The 19,798-nt window shown below is 54.1% G+C and overlaps 2 protein-coding genes and 1 long non-coding RNA gene across 9 annotated transcripts, besides 13 other annotated features; 1 reads left to right on the top strand and 2 right to left on the bottom strand.

Moving 5' to 3' along the window:
• Nucleotides 1,589–2,089: an enhancer, noted in NCBI's record as "H3K27ac hESC enhancer chr7:100044099-100044599 (GRCh37/hg19 assembly coordinates)". NCBI's record gives its function as "activates a minimal SCP1, AML or CMV promoter by ChIP-STARR-seq in naive H9 embryonic stem cells {active_cell/tissue: H9 hESC(naive)}" and the evidence as "EXISTENCE:reporter gene assay evidence [ECO:0000049][PMID:30033119]".
• Nucleotides 3,293–3,452: an enhancer, noted in NCBI's record as "active region_26367". NCBI's record gives its function as "activates an Ori minimal core promoter by ATAC-STARR-seq in GM12878 lymphoblastoid cells {active_cell/tissue: GM12878}" and the evidence as "EXISTENCE:reporter gene assay evidence [ECO:0000049][PMID:35858748]".
• Nucleotides 3,293–4,732: a biological region, named in NCBI's record as "CRISPRi-validated cis-regulatory element chr7.3510". NCBI's record gives its function as "regulatory_interactions: PPP1R35".
• Nucleotides 3,363–4,047: an enhancer, noted in NCBI's record as "H3K27ac-H3K4me1 hESC enhancer chr7:100042141-100042825 (GRCh37/hg19 assembly coordinates)". NCBI's record gives its function as "activates a minimal SCP1, AML or CMV promoter by ChIP-STARR-seq in primed H9 embryonic stem cells {active_cell/tissue: H9 hESC(primed)}" and the evidence as "EXISTENCE:reporter gene assay evidence [ECO:0000049][PMID:30033119]".
• Nucleotides 3,394–4,247: a transcriptional cis regulatory region, noted in NCBI's record as "candidate enhancer chr7.3510 targeted for multiplex CRISPR interference". NCBI's record gives its function as "positively regulates PPP1R35 gene expression in K562 cells {active_cell/tissue: K562}" and the evidence as "EXISTENCE:mutant phenotype evidence [ECO:0000015][PMID:30612741]".
• Nucleotides 4,048–4,732: an enhancer, noted in NCBI's record as "H3K27ac-H3K4me1 hESC enhancer chr7:100041456-100042140 (GRCh37/hg19 assembly coordinates)". NCBI's record gives its function as "activates a minimal SCP1, AML or CMV promoter by ChIP-STARR-seq in primed H9 embryonic stem cells {active_cell/tissue: H9 hESC(primed)}" and the evidence as "EXISTENCE:reporter gene assay evidence [ECO:0000049][PMID:30033119]".
• On the bottom strand, nucleotides 8,688–11,897 carry PPP1R35-AS1 (PPP1R35 antisense RNA 1). The gene is made up of 3 exons (NR_187540.1): nucleotides 11,405–11,897; nucleotides 10,063–10,184; nucleotides 8,688–8,831 (listed from the first exon to the last, which is right to left on the bottom strand). It is a non-coding gene; the product is annotated as a PPP1R35 antisense RNA 1 (long non-coding RNA).
• Nucleotides 10,975–11,477: an enhancer, noted in NCBI's record as "H3K4me1 hESC enhancer chr7:100034711-100035213 (GRCh37/hg19 assembly coordinates)". NCBI's record gives its function as "activates a minimal SCP1, AML or CMV promoter by ChIP-STARR-seq in naive H9 embryonic stem cells {active_cell/tissue: H9 hESC(naive)}" and the evidence as "EXISTENCE:reporter gene assay evidence [ECO:0000049][PMID:30033119]".
• Nucleotides 11,478–11,981: an enhancer, noted in NCBI's record as "H3K4me1 hESC enhancer chr7:100034207-100034710 (GRCh37/hg19 assembly coordinates)". NCBI's record gives its function as "activates a minimal SCP1, AML or CMV promoter by ChIP-STARR-seq in naive H9 embryonic stem cells {active_cell/tissue: H9 hESC(naive)}" and the evidence as "EXISTENCE:reporter gene assay evidence [ECO:0000049][PMID:30033119]".
• Nucleotides 11,629–11,808: an enhancer, noted in NCBI's record as "active region_26366". NCBI's record gives its function as "activates an Ori minimal core promoter by ATAC-STARR-seq in GM12878 lymphoblastoid cells {active_cell/tissue: GM12878}" and the evidence as "EXISTENCE:reporter gene assay evidence [ECO:0000049][PMID:35858748]".
• Nucleotides 11,867–13,283, top strand: PPP1R35 (protein phosphatase 1 regulatory subunit 35). Of its 3 annotated transcripts, none has more exons than XM_011515914.2 (4): nucleotides 11,867–12,027; nucleotides 12,501–12,717; nucleotides 12,798–12,934; nucleotides 13,032–13,283. In XM_011515914.2, exons 1-4 carry the CDS (start codon nucleotides 12,004–12,006, stop codon nucleotides 13,203–13,205), a joined length of 552 nt encoding a protein of 183 aa, XP_011514216.1. In that variant the 5' UTR covers nucleotides 11,867–12,003; the 3' UTR covers nucleotides 13,206–13,283. The 3 variants fall into 3 exon arrangements, with proteins under 3 accessions (XP_011514216.1, NP_659467.1, NP_001333867.1); NM_145030.4 differs by lacking the exon at nucleotides 11,867–12,027 and adding an exon at nucleotides 12,068–12,424; NM_001346938.2 differs by lacking the exons at nucleotides 11,867–12,027; nucleotides 12,798–12,934 and adding an exon at nucleotides 12,068–12,424.
• Nucleotides 12,269–12,748: a silencer, noted in NCBI's record as "silent region_18433". NCBI's record gives its function as "represses an Ori minimal core promoter by ATAC-STARR-seq in GM12878 lymphoblastoid cells {active_cell/tissue: GM12878}" and the evidence as "EXISTENCE:reporter gene assay evidence [ECO:0000049][PMID:35858748]".
• Nucleotides 13,284–14,446: 1,163 nt separating the features above from the next.
• Nucleotides 14,447–19,775, bottom strand: MEPCE (methylphosphate capping enzyme). Of its 5 annotated transcripts, none has more exons than NM_001194990.2 (5): nucleotides 19,525–19,775; nucleotides 16,876–17,950; nucleotides 15,428–15,646; nucleotides 15,176–15,302; nucleotides 14,447–15,063 (listed from the first exon to the last, which is right to left on the bottom strand). In NM_001194990.2, exons 2-5 carry the CDS (start codon nucleotides 17,137–17,139, stop codon nucleotides 15,011–15,013), a joined length of 663 nt encoding a protein of 220 aa, NP_001181919.1. In that variant the 5' UTR covers nucleotides 17,140–17,950; nucleotides 19,525–19,775; the 3' UTR covers nucleotides 14,447–15,010. The 5 variants fall into 5 exon arrangements, with proteins under 5 accessions (NP_001181919.1, NP_001181920.1, NP_001181921.1 ...); NM_001194991.2 differs by having other exon boundaries at nucleotides 16,876–17,535; NM_001194992.2 differs by having other exon boundaries at nucleotides 16,876–17,535; nucleotides 19,660–19,775.
• Nucleotides 17,835–17,914: an enhancer, noted in NCBI's record as "active region_26365". NCBI's record gives its function as "activates an Ori minimal core promoter by ATAC-STARR-seq in GM12878 lymphoblastoid cells {active_cell/tissue: GM12878}" and the evidence as "EXISTENCE:reporter gene assay evidence [ECO:0000049][PMID:35858748]".
• Nucleotides 18,045–18,514: a silencer, noted in NCBI's record as "silent region_18432". NCBI's record gives its function as "represses an Ori minimal core promoter by ATAC-STARR-seq in GM12878 lymphoblastoid cells {active_cell/tissue: GM12878}" and the evidence as "EXISTENCE:reporter gene assay evidence [ECO:0000049][PMID:35858748]".
• Nucleotides 18,785–18,924: an enhancer, noted in NCBI's record as "active region_26364". NCBI's record gives its function as "activates an Ori minimal core promoter by ATAC-STARR-seq in GM12878 lymphoblastoid cells {active_cell/tissue: GM12878}" and the evidence as "EXISTENCE:reporter gene assay evidence [ECO:0000049][PMID:35858748]".
• Nucleotides 19,776–19,798: the final 23 nt, after the last annotated feature.

Genomic DNA, 19,798 nt, shown 5'->3' with positions numbered 1-19,798 from the left:
CCAAAGTGCTGGGATTACAGGCATGAGCCACCGGGCCCGGCCTTATTTATTTTATTTATTTTTATTTATTTTTTTTGAGACAGAGTCTCACTCTGTCGCCCAGGCTGGAGTGCAGTGGTGAAATCTTGACTCACTGCAACCTCTGCCTCCCAGGTTCAAGCGATTCTCCTATCTCACCCTCCTGAGTAGCTGGGACTACAGGCGCACGCCACCACACCTGGCTAATGTTTGTATTTTTAGCAGAGATGGGGTTTCACCATATTGGTTAGGCTGGTCTCGAACTCCTGACCTCAGGTGATCCATCCGCCTCTGCCTCCTAGAGTGCTGGGATTACAGGCGTGAGCCACCACGCCCGGCCATAATTTATTTTATTTTTGAGACAGTGTCTTGCATGTCACCCAGGCTGGAGTGCAGTGGTGCAATCACAGCTCCCTGCAACTTCTGCTTCCCGGGGTCAAGCGATCCTCCCATCTCAGCCTCCCAGGTAGCTGGGACTACAGGCATGTGCCATCAAGCCTGGCTAATTTTCTGTATTTTTGGAAGAGATGGGGCTGGTCTCGAACTCTTGAGCTCAAGTGATCTGCCTGCCTCAGCCTCCCAAAGTGTTGGGATTAAAGGCGTGAGCCACCGTGCCTGGCCTTAAGCTTCTTTTCTTCTTTTTTTTTTTTTTCCTTGAGACGGCATTTCACTCTTGTTGCCCAGGCTGGAGTGCAATGGTGCAATCTCGGCTCACCACAACCTCCACCTCCTGGGTTCAAGCGATTCTCCTGCCTCGGCCTCCCAAGTAGCTGGGATTACAGGCATGCGCCATCACAATGGGCTAATTTTGTATTTTTAGTAGAGATGGGGTTTCTCCATGTTGGTCAGGCTGATCTTGAACTCCCGACCTCAGGTGATGTGCCCACGTCAGCCTTCCGAAGTGCTGGGATTACAGGTGTGAGCCACCACGCCTGGCTCTTTTCTTCTTTTTTGAGACGGGGTCTCACTGTGTTGCCCAGGCTGGTCTTGAACTGCTGGCCTCAAGTGATCCTCCCAGGTCAGCCTCCCAAAGCATTGGGATAACAGGTATGAGCCACCACACCAGCCTCAGCCTAGTCTTCAGTCTCCTGAAGCTCAGTGTCAAAGGCCTCAGCTTTTTTTTTTTTTTTTTTTTGAGAGAGAGTCTTGCTCTGTTGCCAGGCTGGAGTGCAGTGGCGCGATCTCGGATCACTGCAACCTCTGCCTCCTGGATTCAAGCAATTCTCCTGCCTCAGCCTCCCGAGTAGCTGGGACTACAGGCGCCCACCACCACGCCCGGCTAATTTTTTTGTATTTTTAGTAGAGACAGGGTTTCACTGTGTTAGCCAGGATAGTCTCGATCTCCTGACCTCGTGATCCGCCCGCCTTGGCCTCCCAAAGTGCTGGAATTACAGGTGTGAGCCACCACACCCGGCTCCAGCCTCAGCTTCTTTTTTTTTTTTCCTCTCTCTTCTTTTTTTTTTTTTTTTTTTTTGGAGACGTAGTCTCGCTCTGTCGCCCAGGCTGGGGTGCAGTGGCGCGATCTTGGCTCACTGGAAGCTCTGCCTCCCGGGTTCATGCCATTCTCCTGCCTCAGCCTTCTGGGTAGCTGGGACCACAGGTGCCCGCCACCATGCCCAGCTAATTTTTTGGTATTTTTTAGTAGAGATGGGGTTTCACCGTGTTAGCCAGGATGGTCTCGATCTCCTGACCTTGTGATCCGCCCGCCTCAGCCTCCCAAAGTGCTGGGATTATAGGCGTCAGCCACCATGCCTGGCCATCCCAGCCTCAGCTTCTTGAGCATGCATGCTTCCTGGCTGCCATGGCAACTCGACACTTGCGGATCATGATGGCTGACCAACTGTGTGGCCACCCCCGGAGCTTATGAGGTCTGAGGCCACTGAATGGGCCTTGCTGGACATAGTCCCTCCCCACCAGCTCCTTCACACAACAAGACCTCCCCTAACCATGGTACCCCATCTAGTTCCCCACACAGATGGACCCCGCTCCCATACCAGGGCTTCTGACTCTCCACCTGTCTCACACCACCTGACCTCTCTCCTCCTGCCTCTGCCCTTGTTTCCCTTGGCAACTCTCTGGGCCTGTAGAGGCTCTCTCAGGGGAAGATAGTCCTTCATGACCAAATCCTTCCCTCGTGGGTCCCCAGACCCTCTGATTCCAGCCCCCCAGAGATGGGGATACTGCCAAGGTGAAGGTTTCGGGGAAGACCCTCAGGGAGGTTCAGCTGTGTTTGTTTCCTGTGACTGCTGAAATTGTACAGATTGCCACATACTACATCCTAGACCTCCTGAATTCTGATTTGGGGATCAGGAAGGAGGTTGCTGGGAAGCAGAGGTGAGTCATGACCCAGGCTGGTGGGGCCCCATCAGGGAGGTTAAGTCTCTTTTTTAAAATTTAATTTAATTTATTTATTTTTGTAGAGACAGAGTCTCTCTATGTTGCCCAGGCTGGTTTCAAACTCCTGGCCTCAAGTGATCCTTCTTCCTTGGGCTCTCTTAAGTGCTGGGATTACAGGTGTGAGCTATGGTACCCATTGCCCTCTAGAGGAAGGCAGGCCCAGCCTGCAATCCCAGCATTTTGGAAGGCCAGGTCAGAGGATTGCTTGAGCCCAGGAGTTTGAGACCAGCCCGGGTAACATGGCAAGACCCTGCCTCTACAAAAAAAAAAAAAAAAAAAAAAAAATTACCTGGGTGTGGTGGCATGTGCCTGTAGTCCCAAGCTACTCAGGAGGCTGAGGTGGGAGGATCGCTTAATCCCCAGAGGTCAAGGCTGCAGTGAGCCATGATCGTGCCACTGCACTCCAGCCTGGGTGACAGAGCGAGACCCTGTCTCCAAGAAAAAAATAAAACTTGAAAAAAAAAAAATCTAGAGGAAGGCAAAGGGTCTGGAGGGCATCGTGAGCAACACTCACCTGGTCAGTGAAGCTGAGCAAAACTGCCCTGCTCAGACCTGAACTGGCCTGAGACAGAGACAGAAAGGGGCAGGCAGTCTGGGCATGGTGGCTCACACCTGTAATCCCAGGATTTTGGGAGGCTGAGGCAGGCGGATCACCTGAGGTCAGGAGTTCAAGACCAGCCTGGCCAACTTGGCGAAACCCTGTCTCTAATAAAAATACATAAATTAACTAGGTGTGGTGGCGTACACCTATATAGTCCCAGCTACTTGGGAGACTGGGGCAGAAGAATCACTTGAACTGGGAAGCAGAGGTTGCAGTGAGCTGAGATTGTGCCACTGCACTCCAGCACTCTAGCCTGGGAGACACAGTGAGACTCTGTCTCAAAAAAAAAGAAAGGGCAGTCTCAGACTCCCAGAGAGGAGAACAGCAAGTTTCTGTTCCACCTACTTCCTTCAAGGGCTTCTTCCTCCAGGAAGCCTTCCCATCCTCCAGGCTGAGCTGACCTACCCTTCACAGAGCTGGGGCTGGTGTTTAATCTGCACAGGCTGCATGAAGTTTTGCATCCTCTTTCCTGGAGCCTGGCCTGGCCTGGATGTTAGAGTTCATGCTGCACCCTGGGAGGGTGAAAGCTGGCCCCACTCAGAGCTGTCCATGCCACTCCCAGGCCCCAGCAAATAGCAGGTGTCAGTGAGCGGGTGAGAGGCATGTCTTCTGCCTCCTGGGACTCTGAGCTTCCTAGAACTGGGGCCACATTTCCTGCCTTATCTGTTTTCTCCACTGAGCAGGGCTGGGGCTGGAGGGGGCACGTGTGGGGCCAGCCAGCAGGAGCCCGAGGCGAGAGGGTCTGAACCCCCTGCCTCAGAGCCTACCGGCAGAGAGACCAGGGGCCTTTCATTTCCCAGCATCCCCGACATCCTGCTCATCTGCTGCAGAAACAATGAACACGGGAAAAGGGCAGGATGTCCCAGAGGTCGTCCAGAGGAGGAGAGGACAGGCTGAGTCAAAGGTGGGGAGGGAGGAAGGACAGAGGTCAATGGCACACGTGCCATGATCTCATCAGCTCCTGAAAAACAATGACTCGACCTTCTGAGGGCCCCAACTGAGCTCTGGCAACCATATGAGGCCAGTCATTTCCTCAGTGTTCAGATGAGGAAGAGGGGGGCTCTCAGAGGAAAGGGAATGATCCCCAGGTCACATGGTCAGTAGGCACTGGAGCTGGGACTGAAACCCAGGGAGACAGACGAGAGACGGGCCAGGGCTGCGAGGAGGCAGAGAGGCAAGGGCTTCGGCCTCCCCATTTCCAAGCTTGCATTCCCAGGAGTCCATTCATATGTGAAAAAAATGGCTTTTTATTTATTTATTTGTTTAGAGACAGTCTCGCTTTTTGCCCGGGCTGGAGTGCCGTGGTGTGATCATAACTCACTGTAGCCTTGACCTGGGCTCAAGTGATCCTCCCACCTCAGCCTCCTGAGTAGCTGGGACTATAAGTGTGCACCATCACACCCAGATAATTTTTTAAATTTTTGGTAGAGATGGGGTCTTTCTATGTTGCCCAGCCTGGTCTCCAACTTCTGGGCTCAAGTGATCCTCCCGCCTTGGCCTTCCAAAGTACTGAGATTACAAGCATGAGCCATTGCGCCTGGCTTATTTATTTATTTTTAGAGACAGGGTCTCGCTCTGTCACCCAGACTGGAGTGAAGTGGCACAATCATAGCTCAGCGCAGCCTCAAATTCCTGGGCTCAAGGGACCCTCCTGCCTCAGCCAACAAAGTAGCTGGAACTACAGGCATACACCACCATGCCTGGCTAAATTTTTTTAGAAATGGGGTCTTGACCAGCCCAGGCTGGTCTTGAACTCCTGGGCTCAAGTGATCCTCCGGTCTCAGCCTCCTGAGTAGCTGGGACTACAGGTGCACACCACCACACCCGGCTAATTTTTTTGTGTTTTTATTGTAGAGACAGGGTTTCACCATCTTGCCCAGGCTGCTCTCGAATGCCTGTCCTCATGTGATGCTCCCACCTGGGCCTCCCAAAGGGCTGAGATTACAGGTGTGAGCCACTGCACCCGGCCTGATAGCAGAACCTGCTTTTCTTCTACCAGCCTCTCTTGGACTGTGGAAAAACCTCACACCAACATCTCCTTGTCCAATCGCCTCTCTTGGACTGTGGAAAAACCTCACACCAACATCTCCTTGTCCAATCCAGAGGCTTCCATGGAATCACTCTCCACCCCAAGACCCCCCAACATCTCCTGTGTGCTCATTGAGTAACAGACCATCTGCTGCTTCCCCCGTCCCCAACCATCTCCCCAAGGTCCTGGGCATTGGTCCCCTGCTAAGGGGATCTGTCGGGACCTGCCTCCCAGAGTGAGGGTGGCGATTTCTGCATACATTTCCCCTATCTGTGGCTCCCTTTTCCTGGGTTATGGGCCCATCTTCCGTGCCTCCACACCCTTTCTTTCTACCTCCAGCTGTCCCTGGGCTCTTTGGGACCCTAACCACTGGCATCAATCAACCTTCTATGCCCAGTGTGGACATCAAGGACATCTCCCCAGCAAGCTCAGGCCTTCAGCCCAACATTCTCCTCCTTGCTGTGCTCAGCTCCATTGAATTCTCCATCCTCCACCCCACCCTGCAAATCTGTTTATCTTTGCTTTTCTGGTTTCTTTCATTTTCCTCTGCCTCACCCAGATTCCAGACAAATTCTTATTTATTTATTTATTTATTTGAGATACAGTTGCTGGCGGCTCACTGTAACCTCTGCCTCCCAGGTTCAAGTGATTCTCATGCCTCAGCCTCCGGAGTAGCTGGGATTTGCAGGCATGTGCCAGCACACGCAGCTAAAATTTTTTTTTTTTTTTTTTGAAATGGAGTCTCGCTTTGCTCGCTTTGTTGCCCAGGCTGGTGTGCAGTGGCATGATCTGGGCTCACTGCAACCTCCACCTCCTGGGTTCAAGCAATCCTCCCACCTCAGCCTCCCAAGTAACTGGGATTACAGGCCTGGGCTACCACATACGGGTAATTTTTATATTTTTAGTAGAGACGGGGTTTCAGCATGTTGGCCAGGCTGGTCTTGAACTCCTGACCTCAAGTGATCCATCTGCTTGGGCCTCCCAAAGTGCTGGGATTATAGGCGTGAGCCACAACACCCAGCTTGGATTATGGACAAATTCTTTTGAATGAGACTCTGTCCCCTGCCTCCAACTTTTCTGCATCCCAGCAGCTGGCATCATCCCATGTCCCAGAGACTTCACACATACCTAATGGGGCTCATCTCAACCCTCCTGTTCCTCAGCCTGATGCTGGGGAGGCCAGGCTCAGGGTCAGTGTGTTGGCCTGCAGCCCGATGTGTGCCCTCCTCCCTGGATCTCTTCCTTCTGGGTTGGGACGAAGGCGTGAAGGTGGTTTGGAGTCATGAGTTCAGGCTGAGACACCTCAGACCTACCTGACCTGCTGGGGGATTCACCCTGCCAGCCTCCGAGATGCAGTAGGATGAGAACACGCACTCTGGGGATAGGAGCCTGGATGTGTGTGTGTCTGGAGGTTGGCCATTCCCATCTTCCAGCGTGTCTCGTGTGACAGGGACCAGTGTGGAAGTGTCTCTGGGTTGGCCCTTAGGCATAGGCCAGTTTGAGAATAGGAGACAGGAGGTGAGAGGTCGCCATAGGTGGGGTTTGCAGAGGGTGGTATTAGAGCTTTGCTGTCTCTCTGATCTTTCTTGGCCCTATTTGGGGGTGACTTCCAGGATGACGCCCTTGCTCCTCCCCCACCCCCAACCCTGGCAGGTCTTCCCATGTGTCCTCTGTAGCAGTCTCAGCCACACCGTGCAGTGGACCACTGCATTGGAGGCATCCTACCTCTTCTTAAGGACATGGTCCCTTCAAGGACCCTGGATGCTGACCTGTCTCCTGTCCCACCTAGCCCACCTATAGCACCTGGCTCAGCAGAAGCTCATGGATGACCTTGAATGACCCCTTCCAGCACTGAGACTTGCTTTCTTCAAACTAGCATCCAGGTCTAGGATTACCCCACTCAGCAGCCTCAGATAACTAAAGGAGCATCTCTAACTGGTGAGGTCTAACCCAATCAAAAGTCTTTTTTTTTTTTTTTTTGAGACGGAGTCTCGCTCTGTTGCCCAGGCTGGAGTGCAGTGGTGCGATCTCGGCTCACTGCAAGCTCCGACTCCCAGGTTCACGCCATACTCCTGCCTCAGCCTACTGAGTAGCTGGGACTAGAGGCGCATGCCACCACACCCGGCTAATTTTTTGTATTTTTAGTAGAGACAGGGTTTCACCGTGTTAGCCAGGATGGTGTTAATCTCCTGACCTCGTGATCCGCCCGCCTCGGCCTCCCAAAGTGCTGGGATTACAGGCGTGAGCCACAGCACCCAGCCCAAAAGCCTTATAATAAATAATATTTAAGAGATGGGTGTTGCTCTGTCGCCAAGGCTGGAGTGCAGTGGCGTGATCATAGCTCACTGCAGCCTCGAAGTCCTGGGCTCAAGGGATCCTCCCACCTCAACCTCCCCGGTACCTGGGACTACAGGAATACACCACCACGCCTGGCTAATTTTTAATTTTTTTATAGAGACTGGGTCTCACTATGTTGCCCAGGCTGGTCTTGAACTCCTGGCCTCACAGGGATCCTCCTGCCTCTGCCTCCCAAAGTGCTGGAATTACAGGCATGAGTCACGGTGTCCCAGCCATTTTTTTTTTTTTTTTTTTTTTTTGAGACAGAGTCTCACGCTGTTGCCCAGGCTGGAGTGCAGTGGTGCCATCTTGGCTCACTGCAACCTCCCCCTCTCAGGTTCAAGTGATTCTCATGCCTCAGCCTCCCGAGTAGCTGAAATTACAGGCATGTGCTGCCATGCCCAGGTAATTTTTTGTAGTTTTAGTAGAGAAAGGGTTTCACTGTGTTGCCCAGGTTGGTCTCGAACTCCTGGCCTCAAGTGATCTGCCTGCCTTGGCCTCCCAAAATGCTGGAATTATAGGCATGAACCACCATGCCCTGTCCTCCTCCCCATTTTTTTTTTTTTTTTTTTTGAGACCGAGTCTCGCTCTGTCACCCAGGCTGGAGGGCAGCAGCACAATCTCAGCTTACTGCAACCTCTGCCTCCCCGGTTCAAGCAATTCTTCTGCCTCAGCCTCCTGAGTAGCTGGGACTACAGATGAGTGCTACCACGCCCAGCTAATTTTTTGTCCCCTTTTCTTTTGAAGAGGAAAAGCAATTCCTGGCCTCCCAGCCTGGGCCAGCCAAAATAGCTTAGGAAGAATGTGGGCAGGCCCAAGACCTCTCACCTCCCTCACCTCCACCTTCCGATCTTCACACTCGTACTGTTTTTTTTTTTTTAATTATTATTATTATTATTATTATTTTGAGACAGAGTTTTGCTCTTGTTGCCCAGGCTGGAATGTAATGGCACGATCTCTGGCTCACTGCAACCTCCGCCTCCCAGCTTCAGGCAATTCTGCCTCAGCCTCCTGAGTAGCTGGGATTACAAGCATGCACCACCACACCCGGCTAATTTTGTATTTTTAGTAGAAATGGGGTTTCTCCATGTTGGTCAGGCTGATCTCAAACTCCCAACCTCAGGTGATCTGCCTGCCTCGGCCTCCCAAAGTGCTGGGATTACAGGCGTGAGCCACCGCGCCAGGCCCTGTTTTCTTAAAATCATTGGTGAACATTCCACTTCTTGGAGACCCGCAATGTAAACTGGGCAAACAGAATGGCTTGTTTTCGTCTGTGCTGGGGCCTGAAATGAGTCAGTGACTAGATTTTAAGGCTGAGGAATTGCGTTTACTGGGTTCATGGACACGAACTCCTGTAGGGCCTAGATATTTATCAGCATGGCCAAGGCCTGGGGGACAGTTTCGAGTCTCAGCTCCAACACTTCCTGCATGCCAAAACTGCGTCAGCCTCTTTTTTTAAATAAACAAAAAACGTTTAGTCACAGAAATGTTCAAGAATATGCAAAAGTAGAGAAAATATAGTAATAAAATCCTGCTTCAGCAGTCATCAACATTTGGCTAATCTTGTTTTATCCATGTACCCTCAAATACTGTTCCGAACCCCAACTTTTTTTTTTCTTGTGACAGGGTCTCACTCTGTCATCCAGGCTGGAGTGCAGTGGCGAGATCCTGGCTCACTGCAACCGCCGCCTCCTGGGTTCAAGTGATTCTCATGCCTCAGCCTCCTGAGTAGCTGGGACTATGGGACTACAGGCACGTGCTACCATGCCTGGCTAATTTTTTGTACTTTTTAGTAGAGACGAGGTTTTGCCATGTTGCCCAGGCTGGTCTTGAACTCCTGAGCTCAGGCAACTTGCCTGCCTCGGCTTCCTAAAGTGCTGGGATTACAGGCTTGAGCCACTGTGCTCAGTCTTGATACTTTTCAATTTAAGGTAAAATACAGCATGATTTATTAGTTTTTTTTGTTTGTTTGTTTTTTGTTTTTTGAGACAGAGAGTCTAGCTCTGTCACCCAGGCTGGAGTGCAGTGGCACAATCTTGGCTCACTGCAACCTCCACCTCCTGAGTTCCAGTGACTGGCCTACTCAGTCTCCCAAGTAGTTGGGACTACAGGCACCTGTCACCACACCCGGCTAATTTTTTTGTATTTGTATTTTATTTTACTATTACTTTTTGAGGCAGAGTCTTGCTCTGTTACACAGGCTGGAGTCCAGTTGCACGATCTCAGCTCACTGCAACATACGCCTCCTGGGTTCAAGCGATTCTTGTGCCTCAGCTTCCCAAGTAGCTGGGATTACAGGTGTGCACCACCACGCCTGGCTAATTTTTATATTTTTAGTAGAAACGGGGTTTCACCATGCTGGCCAGGCTGGTCTCGAACTCCTGACCTCAAGTGATCCACCCACCCGGGCTTCCCAAAGTGCTGGGATTACAGGTGTAAGCCACTGTGCCTGGCCTGATTTTTTAAAACCTTTTAATATAATCATATAAAATGCATACATTTCCAAAGTCAAATATACAAAACAAAGTATATTTGGAGGAATAAGACTGTTTGTCTTTCATTCTATTCTCTCCCTCCTATGTCGCTATTAAAAATTTTTAATTTATACTCCCAGTTTAAAAATTTATATTTGTACCTCGCTATTTCTTTTCACAATTGAACAATGAGATAATAGACATACTTGCTTGTTCTTAACTTTAGCAGGAAAGCCTCTAGTGTTCCACCATTGAGATCTTCCTTTAAAATCCTTTTTGTAAAATTTGGGCTGTGCTATCCATTCTATCTGATGTTCCACAGCACTTCCTGGAAAGATAAAATGAACAATGTGGAAACTCATAATGAAAAGTGGTACACAAACGTGCCTGTTGACTGAGCATCAATCAATTCCAGGAAAGCTTCAAGATTCCTGAACCTTTTTGAAGCAGTTTGGAGAATTAAAAAAAAAAAAAAAAAAAGAGTAAGAAAGGATTCCTGAACCCACTTCCACTTACATTCTACACAAAAAATGAAAGGAGACTTGCAGAATTGAGGGGACCTGCCCCAAGTAACCTAAGGAGCAGGTGGGAGCTCTCATTTCCTTTTCTGCAGTTCAGGGGTCTTCTGCTATGTGGAAAAGCTCAGGGCCCAGGATAAGTCCACTGACATTAAAAATTAAAAAAACTGAATTCAAGGCTGGGTGCAGTGGCTACTGCCTGTAATCATAGCACTTTGGGAGGCCAAGGCAGCTGAACCACTTGAGGTCAGGAGTTCGAGGCCAACACGGTGAAACCCTGTCTCTACTAAAAATACAAAAAAAATTAGCCGGGTGTGGTGGTAGGCGCCTGTAATCCCACCTACTTGGGAGGCTAAGGTGGGAGAATTGCTTGAACACTGGAGGCAGACGTTGCAGTGAGCTGAGATTGTGCCACAGTCTCCAGCCTGGGCACCAGAGCGAGACTCCGTCTCAAAAAACAAAATAAAACATTGAACCCACAATACAGAGTTTTTTGTTTGTTTCTGAGACAGGGTCTTGCTCTGTCGCCCAGGCTAGAGCGCAGTGGTATGATCAGAGCTCATTGCAGCCTGGAACTCCTGGACTCAAGTGATCCTCCCGCCTCAGCCTTCCCAGTAGCTGGGACTACAGGTGAGCACCACCACCACGCCCGGCTAAAATTAAATTCTTTTGGTAGAGATTGGGAATGGTGGTGTGGAGTCTCGGTATGTTGCCCATGCTTGTCTCCAGCTCAGGGTTTCAAGACATCTTCCCGCCTTGGCCTCCCAGAGTTGGAATTGCAGGTATGCGCTACCGCACCCGTGCCAGATATCTACTTTTTATACAAATTAATATTTCAGGGAACTCTCGAAGGTAAAAGTAGTCACAAAAAGCTGCAAGAGTTGCTGTGTCCCAGAAGGGAGTCCGGGATGGGGTCGGCGACCCTCGCCCGCACTCATACAGGCCAACTCCGGTCCGAGTTTGGAGGCAACGGAACACCGGAAATGCTGTGCAGGTCTGAGTGGGAGGTCAGGGCACACTGGACCGTTACCTTAAAGCTGCCCCATTTATGGCCAGGTGCGGTGGCTCATGCCTGTAATCCCAGCACTTTGGGAGGCCGAGGTGGGCGGATCACGAGGTCAGGAGTTCGAGACCAGCCTGACCAACATGGTGAAACCGTCTCTACTAAAAATACAAAAATTAGCCGGGCGTGATGGCGCGCGCCTGTAATCCCAGCTACTCAGGAGGCTGAGGCAGGAGAATCTCTTGAACCTGGGAGGCGGAGGTTGCAGTGAGCCGAAATCGCGCCCCTGCACTCCAGCCTGGGCTACAGAGAGAGGCTCAGTCTCAAAAAAAAAAAAAAATGCTGCCCCATTTGGCGCCCCAGAATGAGGACTGACACACTGGGCAATGGGCATCGCAGCGCTAGCAGGACTAAGATTCCTCTGGGTAACTCAGCCATAGCAGAGTTTTCAAGAGGAGGAGTGGCCCTGATGAGGACCCGTAGGGCTTCAACCGACCCCAGCTCAAAAACACTTCGGCTTGGGGGCGGTGCCAAGGCTGTGAGTGCTTCCAACACTTCGGCTTGGGGGCGGTGCCAAGGCTGTGAGTGCGGAAGCCTGCCGGAAACCTGGGGACGGAGCGAGGGAAATGACGCCTGGGAGCGACAACAGGGTGGGTGGGGCTGCTGACTCCGCCCCCGAAGGAAAGGGTTAACGGTTTCCGGTAGCGGCGTCTAGGAGGGGCGGGGGAAAGGAGGCGGCAGCCAGGCTGTGTCCCCTGACCGTTGGAGCGTCTGCGACCCCCGCATCCCCGCACCCTCAAGGCACCTCCAAAGATGATGATGGGTTGTGGGGAGTCAGAGCTGAAGTCGGCGGACGGGGAAGAAGCCGCGGCGGTCCCGGGGCCACCCCCGGAGCCCCAAGTCCCGCAACTCCGAGCCCCAGTGCCCGAGCCCGGCCTGGACTTGAGCCTGAGCCCGCGGCCCGACAGCCCTCAGCCGCGGCACGGCAGCCCCGGGCGGCGGAAGGGGCGGGCGGAGCGGCGGGGCGCGGCTCGGCAGCGGCGGCAGGTGAGCGGGGGAGGCTGGCCCCCGGCCCGCGACGGCCTCGCGCCCACCTGGTCACTGCCCTGCCCTCTGCTCCCAGGTCCGCTTCCGCCTGACGCCGCCCTCCCCGGTGCGGTCCGAGCCGCAGCCTGCGGTGCCGCAGGAGCTGGAGATGCCCGTGCTGAAGAGCAGCCTGGCCTTGGGCCTGGAGCTGCGGGCCGCAGCCGGGAGCCACTTTGATGCTGCGAAGGCCGTGGAGGAACAGCTGAGAAAGTCGTTCCAGATCCGCTGCGGCCTGGAGGAGAGCGTGTCCGAGGGTGAGGGGGGCGGGCGGCCGGCCGCGTGCGGGAGTCGGGGTGAGGCGCGCCACTCACCTCCGTCCCCGCTGCGCTCTCAGGGCTGAACGTGCCGCGCTCCAAGCGGCTCTTCCGGGACCTGGTGAGCCTGCAGGTGCCGGAGGAACAGGTTCTGAATGCCGCGCTCAGGGAGAAATTGGCTCTCCTGCCGCCACAGGCTCGAGCCCCGCACCCAAAGGTGATGGGGTCTGGGCGTGGGGCTTCCTCCATGTACCCCCTTACCCGGATCCTTCCTCCCAAAGTGTAACCTTGCTTTGGGCCCAACCTCCCAACAGGAGCCACCTGGGCCTGGGCCAGACATGACCATCTTGTGTGACCCAGAAACGCTATTTTATGAATCTCCACACCTGACCCTGGACGGTCTGCCCCCTCTCCGACTTCAACTCCGGCCCCGCCCTTCAGAGGACACCTTCCTCATGCACCGGACACTGAGGCGATGGGAAGCGTAGACCCCAAAGATCCCTGGAGGGCTAGTTCGTATTTTTGTGTTAAACTATTTGTTAGAATAAAGTAATTTTGCTAATAAATGGGACTCTTCTTGGAGGCCTAAAATGGGGTTAAAAGCTCTCTAGGGGGTTATCCACTTAGCCTCAGGTTGGAAGCTGCCTGGAAGTCGGGTTTGGGGGCCTTTTTGGAACTTGGTAGAGTCATGGCAAGTGGAAAACACTGTCCACGTTAGAGGTTTACTTAGATACCCCTCCGTTCACAACCTTACCTGCCTCTCCCTGACTTCAGCCACAGCTACTGCCTGTTTTTGATCAGGTAGCGATTGTTCTCTGCATCACTTATTCTGATCTCTCAAAATGCAGAGCCCAGCCTATCACACTTCACGAAAACCTTCCATGATTACCTGTCTCAAGGAGCTTGCAAGCCAGCTGTCTGCACTGAGTTACTGAAATTATCTCCTTGCTTTTTACCTTTAAGAGCCTTGCCCATCCTGTTTACACCTGACCTGAATACTCAGTATGTTCGAAGTTCCAGTAACACCTAACAAGCCCCCGAAGAGCTTCATGTTGTTAATTGCCTGTAAGTCTGATTCCACAGCACAAAAAAGGTGCTGGCCCGTCCCTGGGCATTTGATCCAAAGCACTTTTGCCTACCTCCACCGTCAACTCTTTCCAAGTTAGCCTTCTGGCCAGGTGCAGTGGCTCGCGCCTGTAATCCCAGCACTTTAGAAGGCCGAGGCGGGTGGATCACCTGAGGTCAGGAGTTTGAAACCAGCCTGGCCAACATGGCGAAACCCCCGTGTCTACTAAAAATACAAAAAATTAGCTGGGCATGGTGGCGCGTGCCTGTAATCCCAGCTACTTGGGAGGGTGAGGCAGGAGAATCACTTGAACCTGGGAGGCGGATATTGCGGTAAGCCGAGATCACACCACTGTACTCCAGCCTGACGACAGAACAAATCTCCATCTCAGAAAAACAAAAACCAAAAAGTTAGCCTTCTGCCCAAAACGTCTACGGGGTTTTTCTGGGGAGGGAAGGCAGACTCCAAGTTCCACACCAAAATTTGCATTACACACCTTTTCCTGACTAGGCTTCTGTGTACTTGCGTGTGGACTTGACTAGTGTTCAACAATCAGCTCAACCACTGAAAAACGTGTCTTCCTTGAGATGGAAGATAAACAGCACAGGTTCTGGTGGGAGGCACCACCCATCCCCCACCAGCTAGACAGTACCGAGACAGGTGTGGGGGCCACTGCCCTAGACATCAAGTTTATTGTGCTGTTCTCACATTGAAAACCCAACCCCCTCTCCCACTGGGGGAGGGCAAAGGGAAGGATTTTCACAGTACCTGCGTGCCTCCCTGCCAGTCTTCCCCGTCTAACCCTCAGTCCCTCTATCCATGGTCCACTGAAATGCAGCTAGGGACAAGAGCTAGGTACAATGGCCGAGGAGAAATGGGAATCTCTCTCCTTGGGAGAATAGGAGGAAAGGGCTAGAGAATTTGATATCCTCCCACCTCCCATGCCCTAAGAGAACAGAGGTCAGCAAACAGTCCATGCCATCCAGCCTGGGAGGCTGGGGGAGAGGAAGATGATGGTGACTCCAGCACAGCCAGCCTTGCTGCGCAGGTGCCAGAGGCATAGGGAGGAGGCTGAGGCAGCGACGGAAGAAAAGCTTTCTTTGCAGATCCAAGAAAGGAAACTATTTTTGGAGTCAGAAAGGAAAGACCTTGGGACACTTTCCTCTTCCCCCAGGTCCTTATGAGCAGCGAGGGCAGCCTCTTCACACTTTCTGTTTAGGGGGCCACTTAGTGGCTGGGGGATCGGGCCTTGTGGAACAGGTACACAGGACGCTGGAAGCCTGAGGGGAGAGAGAGTGATCAGAAGGGGTTGGCAGCACCTCAAGAATCCCCATGGGGGTCTGCACTCTTTCAGCCAGGACCAGCCTCCCTGACAAAATAAACCAGCCTTACCTTTAGAGGTGTTGTGGGGTGTGGCCACAAGCTCATAGCTGGAGAAGCCCACGTCTGGGGATGTCAGGTAGGAACTGAACTGCTCTGGCTTCAATTGGATTCGGTAGTAGTTCTTGTAGATCGTTTCCTAAGGAGAGAGGCAAGGGACCACTTCAGCACGCTGCCGCCTCCCCTGGCCAAGGGCGATGCCCACCTCGGGGCCTTTTCTTGCCTCAACCAAAGGAATGACTATTCCCCCAACACCCAACTCACTGTAAGAGTCTTTCTCTTGCCATACGACGACCAGGGTTGGGGCTCTAGGACCAGGATGCCCCCAGGGCGTAGGTGCCGGTAGATCCGGCGAAACATGCGCTTCAGGCCCTCGTCTCCCCAGTTCAGATGCACCCACTTGGTGAGGCTGAGGCAGAGCACCACATCATACTCAGGTGTTTGGGCCTCCACCAGGTCATCTCGATCCAGCACATAATTACCCTGAGGGCAAGAATCGGCAGTGAGGTCAACTGAGGGAATCAAAGAACCCCTGCTCCCAGGCAACCTGCTCTGAGGCCGATACAGTCCCGCGGCCTCACTTTAGCCCGTGGCCACTTTCTTCTCAGACTAACTCCCAAAAGGTGCCTGCCCTCTTTGAGTTTTGTTTTCTCCTCTACACCTTCCTGCCTCTGCTTCTTCCTACTGGTGGTAAGCCAAAAAAGGTCGACGGAGCCTGAGTAATTTTAAATGGTGCAAATTATCCATGAAGTCTTCCAAAGCTAGGGTCCCAGGACCATATCCTGTGTTTATTCTCACTCACAGACATTAAGTGGAGTGACTGCAGGTTCTGCAAGGGTAACTAACCCAGGTTTCAAAGGCAGACCTGTGGTTCCTTCCCTGCAGTTGGGGCTGGCAAAGTTTCAGGCCTATTCTTTCCTTTCTCTGAGAGAAATGAAGAGCCACATCCTTTAGGAAGCCTTTTCTAGAAGCTCAGCTCATCACAACCCTCTAAAAAGACCATTCTTCAGGCTTAACCCAACACAATGCCAAAGATCCCAGTAGGCAGCCTAACTGGAGTGTTCTCTGGGGAGCTGTGTGCAGTCAGGGGACTCTGCAGGGCACAGGACTCTCTCCTCTCTGCAGAGGAGTTTCTGGTTCTTCCCTCTCCCACTATCTAGGGTCAATGTGGAGAGGATCTACAGCCAAACCACTTGGGTTCCTGACACGCTTCAACAAACTGTCTAGGAAAACAAAAGCCGCTGATAGGAGCAAGGTGGCTATCAAAGGGCAGAAACGCCAGTATTAGTCTGTCGCTACCCTAATCTCCTCCCTAGAAGACATTCCATGTCTGACTCCCATTCTCAGGCTCCTTCAGTAAATCTGAGGACCAAGTTCCACCTGGATCAAATTCCCTAGTGAGCAGCAGCCTTCAAGGGAAGGGAAGGTGGACCAGTGTGGATTATAGGCCAAGCCGGGAGCAGAGCAAAAAGAGAGTCCTCCTCTATCTTGGAGATCCTTGCAGTCATGACAAAGGACTCCAGGGTCAATGCCCCAAGGTAGACACCCCACCTTTCCAGGTTATAAGAGGGGAGAGACGCCCAGCAGAGGCTCTCACTTGCCAACCCAGACCCCTCTTTTGAGGATCTGGGTCATAACCTTCCCTGCTACATTCCCATTTAATCTCATCTTCACACCTGGCCCCTATTCCAAGAGCCTCTGGACCCTCTTACCGTGACGAAGACAACATTGTTGGGGAAGACTGATGTGTCCGCTCCATCCAAGGGCACTTGGGGGGCAGCGATGGGACCCCGGCTGGCAGTCAGCGAGGCTGGGAAGCAGCTCCTCTTTCGAACGGTGGTGGTCCCTTCCTCACCCTCTGCCCCCGGGTCCCCTTCCAAAGTCTGGGGTGGGAGACGCAGCTCCTCGGAAAGGTAGTGTCGGATGTTTTGGCGGGCAGAATGGATGAGCCGGGAATCGATATCCAGGCCCACCATGCGGGACGGGCCCCACTTGCAGGCAATGCTCAGGGTCAGATGGCCCACATTGCAGCCCAGATCTAGGACGTCCCGGCCCCGAAACCACTCAGGCTTCAACACCCGAAGGCGCCCATCCTCACAGGAAGGATTGCGGTACCCATAGTATTTGCAATAATTCCCATACTGGAACTTGCGCTGTTGCTTTTTGAAGCCTGCTGCAGGCAGTGGGTGGTGGTGGTGGTGGCGGCCTCCCCAACTCCCTCGGCCCTTTTCCTTGGAACCCTGGCCTCCACCCCTAGCCCCTGCCTCCGACTTGCTGGAAGTCCTGCGACGTTTGCGATGTCGGGAGGAGGAAGATGGGGGTGCAGAGATAACTGAGGCAGCTGGAGGGGCTGATAGGGAGCCTGAGGGACCCTGCAGAGCAGATGGAAGGGGAGACACCACTTCATCCCTGCAGTTGATGGCTGTGTTGAGTTCATAGGGTTGGGGGGCATCCCGGTTCTGGCCCCTGTGCCGCGGCTGCTGTGAGGCGCCCTCCCCGTGGAGTAAGGGGGTGAGAGGGGCTGTGGGCGGCACGGGGTGACTCTCACTCCCTCCGGCTGCCTGCTGCTGCTGGTGGTGCTGTCCCCGGTGTCTATGCCGCTTCCGACCAGTCTTGAGTGGCGAAGCAAGAACTACATGGCCCTCATCAGTGCAAGTATTGAGACTGAGCGGGTCAGTAATATCTTTGGGGATGAGGATCTCCACCGGATCTCGCCCTTTGGCCGGAAGGGGGGATGACTTAGGGGTCTCCGCGTTGAGAGTGCGGCTCACTTCCTCATCCAGGAGGCTATTCAGGTTCAGGGGATCAAAGATATTGCCCCCCAGGAGGAAGTTGGAGGGTAACACAGAGTCACAGTCCGAATTCACCCGCCTGCGCCTCTTGAAGGCCGGATGTTTGAAGCCTCCCCCGCCTCCCCCTACATTACAGCTATTTCTCCTCTTGCCCCCGCCCCCCCCAGGTGGCCGGTGGGGCTGATAGCCATTGCGGGGTCGAGGAGGAGCAGGGGGACCCAGCTCTGTCCCGCCCCCTCCCCGGCGCTCCTCCCCCACGTCCGGGGGAGCGGCTCGCCCCGGGGGATCCGACAGGCGGGCCTCCCCATGCGACTGCGCCTGGGGGCCGCCCCCTCGGTGCTGCTGCGCCTGGGGACCACTGGAGGAGGTGGCCGCGGCCCCGGGGCTTTCCCGACCGACCGCAGCGGCTGGGGACCCCGCAGATGGCGCGCAACGACCCGGACCACGCTCCGTCCCGCCGCGGAGCTCCCCAGAGGCGGCCTCTTGGTGCGGTGGCACCGTGGGGCCGCCCCCTCCGCCCGACTCATCTTTGAGCGGCGGCGGCGGGGCCGGCACCAGAAACGGCTCCTTCTCCGCCGCCATCTCGATCATTTCCTCCCCTTATTCCGTGCCAGTCGGGGTAACGAGGGGGATCAGGGGGCCTAACCCCCCCTGCCTGGACCCTGCTCCCTTCCCCCCTTTCCCGAGTGCGCGCGCAGCTCTGCTCTTCACGCCTAGTCTCGCGCCCAAGCGCCTCCCCGCCAAGTGCGCCCTACTAGCCCGCGAGACCAAAACAAGAGGCCCGCGAGACCCGAACTACTCGAGGACTCAACCGCGCGTGCGCCGACCCCTTTCTCCTCCGCCACTACCACCCGGCCGCGAGCGCGCACGGTGAGCGCGCGTTCCCTTCGCCCGGGAACCACGCATGCGCACTCCGCCACCACCCTGGTTGCGCGCGCATCAGACTACGAACCAACTTAACGGCTCTGGGAGTTTAAATATAACCCCCCCACAGCCCCCGCAAAAGCCCACCACCCCAAACTGACACCCTACTTCCCTGCGCAGCTATGTCCGGCCCTACTGATCTCCTTTGTCTCTGCCGCGCGATCCCACCCACCGTAGGCGGGGGACGGGAGCTGGTGTGAAAAGGTCTCCTTGACACCCGACCCTTGTTCCTGAGGAATGAGTCTCAGCGGTCTCCGCCCGGCTCTAAATCCAACAACCTCCCCACCCCGCCTCCTTCCTCCCCCCTAGTGGGCAGCGCCTGCGCACACCCTTTTGGGCTTGCGCGGGTAGAGGCAGCACGTGCTGAAACTGGCGCCCCGCCCCCCGTCTTAGGGGTTGGGCCTGTGACGTCGCTTCCTTAAGTTTGGTAAACGCAGCGTGCGTCAGCGCGATCCGGAGGGGCGGGGCTTCCTGACGAAGGGCGGGGCTCATGAATTATTCATGAGCTGTTGGTAGCAAACCTCCCCCCCTCTGCCCACCTTCTTAGAAGCGCTTCCGAGGGAGCGGAGGGGAGACCCTACAAAGCCAAGGAAGGGCGGGAGTGGAACTGGGCTCAGTAAAACGCGATAGGTCATTATAACTCACCCCCCTTGAAAATATTCTCTGCTGAATTGGGGAAAAATAAAAAGCACTAAAACAGCCGATGTTGTCCAACTTCCTCTTCCCCCGAAACGGCTGAGTCGTTCTCTGGCTCCTCTACCTTCCCCCAATCGCAATCACCTGGAGACGCCACACCACGCCTTCCTCTCCGCCTCAACACCCACGACCCGAACCCCAACGCATCCGCCCACTCCCGACGCCCGCTCACTGGCCCGTCAGTTCGCGGGCCTCTCAACACCCACCGCGGCGCCACGCCGAC

The sequence above is a fragment of the Homo sapiens genome, chromosome 7, assembly GCF_000001405.40.
Source record: "Homo sapiens chromosome 7, GRCh38.p14 Primary Assembly".
Lineage (NCBI taxonomy): Eukaryota > Metazoa > Chordata > Mammalia > Primates > Hominidae > Homo > Homo sapiens.
The sequence above is the reverse complement of the archived record's forward strand: the minus strand, read 5'-3'. Positions and strand labels throughout refer to the sequence as shown.